Source organism: Homo sapiens, chromosome 20 (genome assembly GCF_000001405.40).
Source record: "Homo sapiens chromosome 20, GRCh38.p14 Primary Assembly".
NCBI lineage: Eukaryota > Metazoa > Chordata > Mammalia > Primates > Hominidae > Homo > Homo sapiens.
The window spans coordinates 23,710,536-23,722,209 of record NC_000020.11 but is presented as its reverse complement, the minus strand read 5'-3'; the positions used below and the strand labels follow the sequence as shown (position 1 = coordinate 23,722,209).

The following is an 11,674-nucleotide window of genomic DNA, read 5'->3' as shown; positions in this document are numbered from 1 at the left end:
GCAGGAAGCACAGGGTGTCCCAGAAGAAGAGTCCTGGAACCCAGCCAACAGAGCCCACACCAGCAACACTCTCACCCTTTCTCCAGGGCTTCTCTGTGCCGAGCAGTTTGGCAAGAACCTCTTACACATCATCATTTTGTTCTTCATGTATTCCCAAAATATAGAGAGATTCCTTTTCTGATGAGAATATAGTTCCTAGCATACAGCAGTCACACCATAACCTTATTTTGACTGAATGAGTGCTGAGCAGTGATGAGATCACAGTGTAGGGACTGACACTTTTTGTTGCAGGTTCCTTGTCTGAAAAATGTGGAAAACACATTTTGTAAAGATTGTTAGAGAATCCATTCATTCAGTCAACTAATTCCCTACTGATTCCTGTGCTAGAGCTGAGACCACAGCATTGAGCAAGTAGGCAGTGCGCCATGTGCATGGAAAAAAGGAGGCAGAGAGGCATAGACATGGCAGCTGATAGACACCCCTTTCTTTCCTTCTCAGCCTGGGAGTCTCATGAGAAGAGCTTGCCTTGGAGTAGGTTGAGCCCACTGGTAGGAAGCACAGGAGGTAAAGCGAGTGCATCTCCAATGTGATGCTACCCTAGGAAAATGCCATGGTGCTGCTGAACTACAACAGTGATAACAAATGCTGCAGTGGGAACCCAGAGACCTCAGAGAAGAGCAATGAGGGCTTCCGGGGGAACACAAGAGCTGTTGAATGGAGTGAGCCATCAGGGGACCCGTAGTGGGCAGCTCTCAGGCTCCTGAGGGATTGGTGCCTTGTTCAGGTGCATGCACACACACAATCTCATACACACATACACAGTCTCATGTAATAGTGTACTAGTACAGAGAAAACCTGCTGTATAAATATTTCTCAGTAATGAATTTCCTCAAAAGCATGAAATTCTTTATGTTCATGAAAAAATCTAGAAAAACTCCTTGCAGGGTGCAAAAGATCTAAAACAGTGTTTGCAAACTGTTGCACACAGCACAAATGTGGCTATGAGTTAATATATGCTGCTAATTACATTTTCAAAGATTCCCTGAAAAATACATTGAAATTATTCTGTATACAAAAGCCTCCATTCAGAGATACCAATGCACATTAGAATATTCATTAAAACAAAAAATACTTGTGATAAGAATCTGATTAATTCTCTTCCAACTTTTCTAGATGATTCTGTTCCTCATACCCTTTGTGTTTTGAGGGGAAGGGCTAACATGTATCAGCAACCATGAGAAAGAGTGTCCTGTGAAGATAAATTGGGAAACACTGATCTAGAATAATGTTTCACTTTCTGTGAGTTCTAGTACACAGAAAGCAAGTAAATATATTGATTATAATGGAATGAAGGTTTATAATTGTCCAAGAAAGGAGTCACAACTATAGAAAGGAGGGGACTGGAAAGAATCTCATTGCATTGGGTTTGGTGTCAATAATAACTTAGAGTTTTTAATACATAAATATGTAATAGAACAATAGCTATCTACACGTGGGTAAGTTTTTGTATGTATTTTGTAGCACTGACCAACAGACAAGGCCAAGAACAAGTTGCCTCACCTTCTGCACTGTGGCCATTTGAGACCTAGGAATTCTTTTTCTGGAAATGTCCTGTGCATTGCAGAATGTTGATCAGCATCCCTTCCCTCTCTCCCTAAATGCCAGTAGCACCTGCCTTACAAATCGGAACAACCAAAGACATCCTAGACATTACCAAATGTGCCCTGGGAAGCAAAATTGCCCCAGGTTGAGAACCACTGACTGAGGCCTCACGGCATTCCAGGAGCGGTGAGTACAGGCAGCACGCGGGAATTCCTTTCTACATTCACTGCAGATTCCAACCACTGATTTTCACCTTGGATCAGAGAAAGTAAAACATAAATCCGGAACTTCTTGTTATATCAGAAAGTAAGGATAGGCTCAAATAATGATGGAAACATATCAAGAGGACACAGGAAGCAGCTTAAAGGGGCTTCCACTAACCTACCCTGAGGTAATTTTCACATTCTAATAAACAAGAGCAATAGATTATAACTCCTTGAGTAAAATAAGAAGCCATGAGTCAGATAGATCTATGGAAAAATTGATGTCTAACAGATAGATGGATAGATAGGGAAAAGAGTAAAGTGTTTCCTTGCAGTAGAATGAATGTCATTTATAAGTATTTTTAAAAAACGAACTTATGAATATAATTTGAAAGCAATCATAATAACAACTGATTCAAACAGGAATTATTATTGTATGCTAAAGCTAGAAAGCAAAAGTGAAAACTTTATAAGTAAGACATAAATATATATTTCAAAGTATTTCTCCATGAAACACTTACTAAATATAAAGGAGAGAAAAGTAAACTGTACTGTGGAGAGACCTGTCAGATACCATCTGAATCTAGAGATCAAGGTTAGTGTCTATCAGCCATGGGACAGCGTTGTTATGGCCTCCTGGTAGGAGGTAATGAGGGACACAAGATCACATCTACAATTCTTCTCTGAAAATCTGCATAGCCTGAATCTCATCCATTGACAAAGCCCAGCTGAGGACATTCTATGAAATCGCCGGTTATCTTCAAAAATGACAAGATTACAAAGATAAGAAAGACTGAGAAACTGTTTCAGATCAGAGGAGACTGAGGCGGCCTGACAACGACACACGGTTGATGAATTGCCTGGACGACAGATTAGACGACAGTGTGGACCCATGCTAGTGCCGTGATTCCGCTCACTGCACTGAGGCTGTGCTGGAGAATGTCCTTGGCCTTAGGGGACACACATGAGAATGTCTAAGGACAAAAGGAGTCACACCTGCAGCTTGCTCTGAAATGGCTCAGGAAAAGCTGTAACAGTGCATACACATATAGAAAGAGGGAAAAGCGCGCGAGACACAATGTGAGGAGTGGGAGGGTCTGGGTGTGTACAGGAGCTCTTTATATTACTCTTGCTGCTTTTTGTAAGTTTGAAGTCACTTCAAAACTACAATAAAAAAGTTTATTATTTATTTTCTAATGAATATAGAAAAATAAAATTGCTTCTTTTTTTATATATTCATTAATGGCATTCTTTTTACTCCAAGGAAGAACTTTTCTCCTTTATCTGTATGTATCTTTCTATCTCTCTATTTGTTAATCATCTATTTATCCACAGATCTAGAAGACTCACGGTTTCTTATTTTATTCAATGAGTTGTAATCTGTTACTATCACTTATTTGAATGTTTAAAATATCTGAGTTGACTAGTGAGAGCCCCTTTAAGCTGCTTCCTGTGTCCTCCTGACATAATTCCATCATCTTTTTATCTTTTACAAGAAATTAAAAATTGAAAATACAGCAAAGTGCTGCCTCAGCACTGAGACCCCAGCCCCACCCAACATGCACAGGCCTGTGTGCTCAGCTTGTTGGAAGGTCCCGGCTCATGCTTTCCAGCCTAGCATGGACTTCCCAGCCAAGCCGCAGCACCATGAAGCTTCAGGGCAGCTGGTTATTAAGGATGAGCTTCACCAGTGTCCACACCCTGTACTGTTCCTTGGAGCAGAGAAACGGGGTGTGAGACGGCAGGGACTGGCGCACTGGAGAGAATGCATGGGCAGAGGTTGAGGAACAAGCGCCCTCTGCTTCCACCAGACGTGTTGCCTCACAAGGGACAGCCACGTTCCCCACCACTCACTCTACCTGCACCTCCCTCTGCAGCACAGGGGGGTCACTACTGTTTCCCAGTCCCCTTCTTCTGTTTCCTCCTGGGTTTTCACCATAAGCCCCCTCTCCCACATGCACACCCCCACCAGGATGGGCCTGTGAGTCTGGTACCACATTGCCAGCAATGGGTAGAGGTGGGAATGGAGGTAGAAGGGGGTAAATTCTTCATCCGGAATAACACAGTAATCAATGGATCACAAACTATAGGCCTAAAAAGGACTCTCTGAAGCCATGGCCTTTGACCTGCTCATTTTTATAGAGAAGAAAGAGAGGGCCTGAAAAGGGAACTCTCCGCACTTGGAGGACTCCTTAGAGGCCAACACTTCCCAGACATCCCAGGATGGAACAGAGGAGACAGAAAAAAGTCAGCCTTGATAGCAAGAGTTCAGCCAACCACTGCCAGCATGAAATCCACCTGCTTCCTGGGCGCATATGTGCCATGTCACAGCAGTGTATTTCCAAGATTCAGGGGAGTGTGGCAGGGTGGATGGACAGTTGGCTCCCTTGCTGGAACTAAAGTATACATCCATGCCCTGTGCCATGCAGCTAGCAGCACCTCTCTCCAGAAAATGCAGAGTAGATCCCCATTGCCATTGTGCATGGTCATGGGTCTTGCTTGGCCCATAGGATGTTAACACATGGGACAAGCACAGAACCCTTAACCCTGTGTGTGTGAGAGGCTGGTCCTCCTCCTCTCATCTGAGCTTCCATGAGAAGAACTTGGCCCAGACGGGCACGACCCCTTCAGCATGGGCCCCAGCATGAAGACACAAGCCAAGCCAGCACCAGACCCCCTGACCCCCAGCCCATGTGCAGGCAGCAGAGCATGACAGGAACAGCTTGTTGCTGTCAGCCCTTGAGCCACTGTTGAGTCCCAGATCTTCCCTCTGACACAGCTTACCCAAGTGTGAAGGAAACTGAAAAACAATTCCGGTAGTATGACAAATTAAGGTTATTTAACACCCCAAAAAATTACATCAGCTCACCAGCCATGGATCCAAACCAAGATGAAATCTCTGAAATGCCAGAAAAGGAATTCAGCAGCAATTATTAAACCAACCAAGGAGCCACCTGAGAAAGGTGAAGTCCAACTTAAAGAAATTAAAAAAAAAAAGATGCAGCATATGAATAGAAAGACCTCCAGTGAAAATAAATGGAATAAACAAAATACAATCACAACTTTTGGAAATCAAGGACACACTTAGAGAAATGCAAAATCCATTGGTAAGTCTCAGCAATAGAATCAAATGAGTAGAAGAAAGAACTTCTGAGCTCGAAGACAAAGTTTTCAAATTAACTCCGTCCAACGATGATGAAGAAGATAGAATTTAAAAATAAACAAAGCCTCCAACAAGTTTGGGATTTTGTTAAATGACCAAATCTAAGAATAATTGATGTTCCCAAGGAAGAAGAGAAATCTAAAAGTTTGAAAAACATATTTGAGGGAATGATTGAGGAAAACTTCTTTGATCTTGCTAGAGATCTAGACATACAAACACAAGAAGCTGACAGAACACTTGGGAAATTCATTGCAAAAAGATCATCACCTAGGCACATAGTTATCAGGTTAACTAAAGTGAAGATGAAGAAAAGAATCTTAAGAGCTGTGAGGCAAATCATCAGGTAACCTATAAAGGAAAACCTATCAGATTAACAGCAGATTTCTCATCAGAAACCTTACAAGCTAGAAGGGATTCGAGTCTTATCTTTAGCCTCTTTAAACAACAACAACAAAAAATCAACCAAGAATTTTGTATCCACAAACAAATGGAAGAACATTCCATGCTCATGGGTAGGAAGAATCAATATCGTGAAAATGACCATACTGCCCAAGGTAATTGACAGATTCAATGCCATCCCCATCAAGCTGCCAATGACTTTCTTCACAGAATTGGAAAAAACTACTTTAAAGTTCATATGGAACCAAAAAAGAGCCCGCATTGCCAAGTCAATCCTAAGCCAAAAGAACAAAGCTGGAGGCATCACATTACCTGACTTCAAACTATACTACAAGGCTACAGTAACCAAAACAGCATGGTACTGGTACCAAAACAGGGATATAGATCAGTGGAACAGAACAGAGCCCTCAGAAATAACACCACATATCTACAACTGTCTGATCTTTGACAAACCTGAGAAAAACAAGCAAAGGGGAAAGGATTCCCTATTTAATAAATGGTGCTGGGAAAACTGGGTAGCCATATGTAGAAAGCTGAAACTGGATCCCTTCCTTACACCTTATACAAAAATCAATTCAAGATGGATTAAAGACTTAAACGTTAGACCTAAAACCATAAAAACCCTAGAAGAAAACCTAGGCATTACCATTCAGGACATAGGCATGGGCAAGGACTTCATGTCTAAAACACCAAAAGCAATGGCAAACAAAGCCACAATAGACATATGGGATCTAATTAAACTAAAGAGCTTCTGCACAGTAAAAGAAACTACCACCAGAGTGAACAGGCAACCTACAAAATGGGAGAAAATTTTTGCAACCTACTCATCTGACAAAGGGCTAATATCCAGAATCTGCAATGAACTCAAACAAATTTACAAGAAAAAAACAAACAACCCCATCAAAAACTGGGTGAAGGACATGAACAGACACTTCTCAAAAGAAGACATTTATGCAGCCAAAAAACACATGAAAAAATGCTCACCATCACTGGCCATCAGAGAAATGCAAATCAAAACCACAATGAGATACCATCTCACACCAGTTAGAATGGCAATCATTAAAAAGTCAGGAAACAACAGGTGCTGGAGAGGATGTGGAGAAATAGGAACACTTTTACACTGTTGGTGGGACTGTAAACTAGTTCAACCATTGTGGAAGTCAGTGTGGCGATTCCTCAGGGATCTAGAACTAGAAATACCATTTGACCCAGCCATCCCATTACTGGGTATATACCCAAGGGACTATAAATCATGCTGCTATAAAGACACATGCACACATATGTTTATTGCGGCATTATTCACAATAGCAAAGACTTGGAACCAACCCAAATGTCCATCAATGATAGACTGGATTAAGAAAATGTGGCACATATACACCATGGAATACTATGCAGCCACAAAAAAAGATGAGTTCATGTCCTTTGTAGGGACATGGATGAAATTGGAAATCATCATTCTCAGTAAAGTATCGCAAGAACAAAAAACTAAACACCGCATATTCTCACTCATAGGTGGGAATTGAACAATGAGAACACATGGACACAGAAGGGGGAACATCACACTCTGGGGACTGTTGTGGGGTGGGGGGAGGGGGGAGGGATAGCACTGGGAGATATACCTAATGCTAGATGACAAGTTAGTGGGTGCAGCGCACCAGCATGGCACATGTATACATATGTAACTAACCTGCACATTGTGCACATGTACCCTAAAACTTAAAGTATAATAATAATAAGTAAATAAATAAATTAAGAATTTTGTATCCAGTGAAACTAAGCTTTATAAATGAAGGAAAGATACAGTCTTTTTCAGATAAATGTTGAGAGAATTTGCCGCTACCAGGCCAGCACTATGAGAACTGCTAAAAGGACCTCTAAATCTTGAAACAAATCCTCAAAATACACAAAATAGAATCTCCTTAAAGCATAAATCTCAAGGACCTATAAAAGAATACTACAATGGAAAAAAAAACACATGGTATTCAGGAGAGAACCAGCATGATGACTAGACATCTCACTTCTTCTTCATCACCATAGCAAGTCATGACCACACCAAACTCAAAGGAAGAAGAAGAACAATCCTGCCTTGCACTCATGAGAAGAAACTGAAATACTCAGAAGACAGCCCTAATTATGACCGCAAATGCCCACCTAACAGCACCAGGTAGATGTTTGTGCTTCTTCAGGCAGTACTAGGCTACCAGACAGGCACAAGCGGAACTCAGACCCCACTTTGTACCTGCTCACCTCTTCCTCTTTTCTGGGCGTCTTAGACTTAGGGGTCCTAAAAACCACATAAAAGAAGTATAATGAAATGCAGGATCTTAACAGTTCCTTAAAGTACACAGAAAAACATTTTATCCGTCTTTGGGCAGTCAAGTATTCCTGGACAGCATAACTGGGTGGTCACTCACACTTCTCATCCACTCACTTATCAAGGTCACCAAAGTACCAAGAGGATCATTTTGCCCTGAACCCACTTGGAACTGCTCGGGTGCCAGCATATGGCTTCTGGTTGCATTTCTTACCCAATTCCTTGTTCGGTGGAAGAGAATGAGCTTTGTAGCACCTGTGATTCATTTTCATTTCTACCTTATTTTGCTTTTGGGACTCTAGGCTGATGATTACATTTTCCCTCTCTCACACTTCCTTTTTATGCATTTTATTTTTGGGGATGATTTTTCAAATTACACAAAGCAATTTTCTTTTTGTTCCTGGCAACTTCTATATAATATTTTTCTTTTAATTATTCAAGAGAATTTCTCCTACATTAATATTTCTAAATCAACATTTATGAAAGCTTTTCAGACTTTTCATAAAATGGATTTAATTTCACTCCTACTGTCTTTGTTGAGTGTACATTCTATGCTAGAAACAAAATCTGGTACTGGAGAAAAGAAAGTGAAAGAGCCAAGTTCTCTATCCTCAATGAATGTTCAGTATAGAATTCTGGGTTGTAGACAGGCAAGTGGAAATCAGAGGAGAGAATATGGCACTGGAGAGCACAGAGAAAGGCACCAAATGCACAGAGAGGGCTGGGGGAGGAGGACAAGCTGCCCACATCCCTTGATAGTTCCTCACTGTCTTACCTCACTGCACTTACTAGCCCACACTCCAGTTGCCACTATCCCCACCAACTTACCTGTGCACATGGCACAAGTAAGTGTGAGAGAACTAATAGCCCTGTATATTCCTCATCCAAGGAATGACATGAGCAGACATGTTCTACGCAATCTCCCAGAAGTTCCCAGCAGAATTGAGCCATAGGTGCCCATAGCAGTAGCCTGAAAGCTCACACTCACTGTATTGAGCACCTTCTCTTCCCTGTATCATTTCCTCAATGCCCCAAGAGTGTGTCTTGGCACTACCTCCCAAATAAACCACTTTCATTTGTATCCCCTTGTCAGGGTTTTCTTCTGTCAATCTAGAAAGTCACCTTTATGGAAAATGTAATATCTACAGAATCACAAATGATGAAGAGAAATCAATGAGGTGACATAGGAGATGGGAATTCCAAAAAGAAGGAGGGTCTGGGCCAAGACACATGCCTGTGAATCATAGTCAAGTTCCATAAGAGGTGGTGATGACCTTGGCATTTTAAATGGCCCCATCCTCTGAGCTCCAGTTCAAAAGCAGCATAACTGTGGCTCGACATGAAATTTCTCAAATGCACAAAGTTTTGAGGACAGCAGACTGCTGAGGCATCTCACATCATGGCAATGACATGGAGTCAGACTACACGGGTTAAAATCCTGATTCTTCCATTTACAATCTGTGTAAATTTGACATATTTCCCTAAACTCTCTGTGGCTCAGTTATTTCATCTCTAAAATGAAGAAAGTAATAGTACCTAGTAAGTAGTTATGAGGTTATAATATATTATTGAGTGTTATGTTCATTATTAGTGTTAGCTAGTTTTTGTTTGTGATTATCTCAGTGATCTCTGAGAGGCAAATCACATGGGGAAGGAGATTCAGTCTTTATCTTCTAGGACCTCATGGCCTGGTGGGTGACAGAAATAGACACACAAGTAAGAATGACCCTAAGAGGAGGATAGAAAATTCCTCTTGTGCACACAAAAGTGCTATAAGACCCCCAAATCAAAAGGGTCACACATGGCTGGCTACATGGACCAGAGAGGGATTCATAGACAGGGTTTGTGTAGACCTAAACCAGAGAAGCAGGTAGCAGTTGTGGAGGCAAAGATCTATGGTGGAGTGGGCATCTACAGGTAAACATTTGAGAAAGAATTATGTGAGCCTGGACAGTTCTGTGTCTGGAGAACATCAAAGAGTCCAGTTTCTCTAGAGGCCAGACTGTGTAATGGGCAAAAGCAAAAGTGCAGCCACAGAGAGCAAGATGCCAATGCTTCATGTGGCAGGGGATATGGGTTTCTAAACATTTTAGAACCAGAGAAACAAAATCTGAGGGTGGAGACCAGCAAACCAGTGAAGACTTCACTGTGGATGTCCACATCAGACCTCTCTAGGGAAGATCCAGTAATGTAGGAGCTGAGAAATACAGTGATTCTTCTCTATCATGGATTGCAGATAGTTCTGAGAAGAAAAACCAGATTCTCACTCTTCTATCATGTTACAAAGCCAATTGCCGCCTTCTTTTTTTCTATAAAATATAGAATTAGCATGACTATGTAATCACATGAGGTTTATAAAGGGTGTGGCACAATGTCCAATGCAGAAAAGCTACTGACAGACACCTGGCAGTGGTGCTGAAGATGATGATGGTGATGAGAATGATATGCTGGAGATGAAAATGGTAATGGTGGTGGTGGTTTTGAAGATGATGATGATGGTATGGTGGTAATGCTGGTAATGGTAATGATGTTGATGGTGTTGATGATGATAATGGTAATGGTGGTCATGATGAGTATAATGATGGTGAGTATACTGATAGTGATGGTGGTAGTGGTGATGGTGATGGTGATGACAGCAGTAATGTTGGTATTGATAATGGTGATGGTGATTGTGATAATAGTGATGGTGGTGGTGGTGGTGGTTATAATGGTGGTGATGATGGTAGCTCTTGTAATGATAATAGTGGTGATGGTAATAGTAATGAAGTTGGTGACAGTGATGGTAGTAATAGTGGTGGTGGTGATGGTGATGATTGCAGAGATGGTGGTATTGATAATGATGATGGTAGTGGTGATAATAATGATGATGATGGTGACAGTGGTGATGGTGGTAATGATGGTAGCGATGGTGGGGATTATGCTGGTACTGGTGTTGGTGATGGTCTTGGTGGTGGCAGTAATGGTGATGGTGATGATAATAGTGATGGTGATGGTAGTGAGGCTCATGGTGATGGTGGTGATGATGATGATGACCATGATGTTGATGTTATGTTGATGGTGGTCTCATGCCTGAGAGTCTCCTGCTTTAACTGCAACTCACACTGATTGTCCCGTTCTCTTTCCTTTCACAGAGACAGTTCTGCTCTTTCCAGATCTATGAATTTCCTTGGGAGGACAGAATGTCCTTGGTGAAATCCACGTGTCAGAATGTCTATGGGTTTGTAGTAGGCTAGCTGCACCAACCACCTCCTACACCCATGCCACTGTAGTGCTCTCACCCTTGGATTGGTGGTTCCTACCTTGGGGGAGGTCTCCTCTGCAGGCCTGCACCAGGATACAGACAGAGAAGGCATCAGGAGGTTTTTTGCGCAGCACGGGTTTCTGCCCTCCCTCCTTGCTTCTTACAGCCCCGGTGCATGGTGCACACAACCCCTTCTCCTGCAACTAAACAGTAGCATCGGCTCCCTCTGAGTTCTTGGCTGTCTGGGGCTGTGCACACAGGAAGGGTTTTAGCAGTCCCTTTATGAAGCTCTCCTTGTCCACCAGCCCCCTCCTCCAAGTCTGACCTCTTCCAAAGGGAGCAGCCCAGGTTCTAGTGTGAAAGCAGTGCCTCCATTGATCAGTCCCATGAGGGTGCACCCTATACAGGGAGGTCATGCCCTATGCTGGACAGGGAGGCTGTGCCCTACACTGGGAGGTAGTGCCCTGTGCTGGGAGGCTATGTGCTATGATGAGAGGTGGTGTCCTATGCTGAGAGATGGTGCCCTATGTTGGGAGGCTGTGTCCTATACTGAGAGGTGGTGTCTTATCCTGGGAGATTGTGCCCTATGCTTGGAGGTTATGCCCTATGGTGGGAGGCAGTGCCCTGTGCTGGGAGGTTGTACCCTAGGAGCATTGTTCACGTTCACCCCCACTGGCCCTTTCTCTGAACTTGGATTCAAACCAAGTTATTATGTCAAGCTTAACATAAAGAATGTAGAAATTAAAACATTC

The 11,674-nt window shown here is 42.4% G+C and overlaps 1 pseudogene, besides 1 other annotated feature; it reads left to right on the top strand.

Moving 5' to 3' along the window:
• Window positions 3,479-3,979: an enhancer, noted in NCBI's record as "H3K4me1 hESC enhancer chr20:23698868-23699368 (GRCh37/hg19 assembly coordinates)". NCBI's record gives its function as "activates a minimal SCP1, AML or CMV promoter by ChIP-STARR-seq in naive H9 embryonic stem cells {active_cell/tissue: H9 hESC(naive)}" and the evidence as "EXISTENCE:reporter gene assay evidence [ECO:0000049][PMID:30033119]".
• On the top strand, window positions 10,811-11,152 carry CST2P1 (cystatin SA pseudogene 1; annotated as a pseudogene).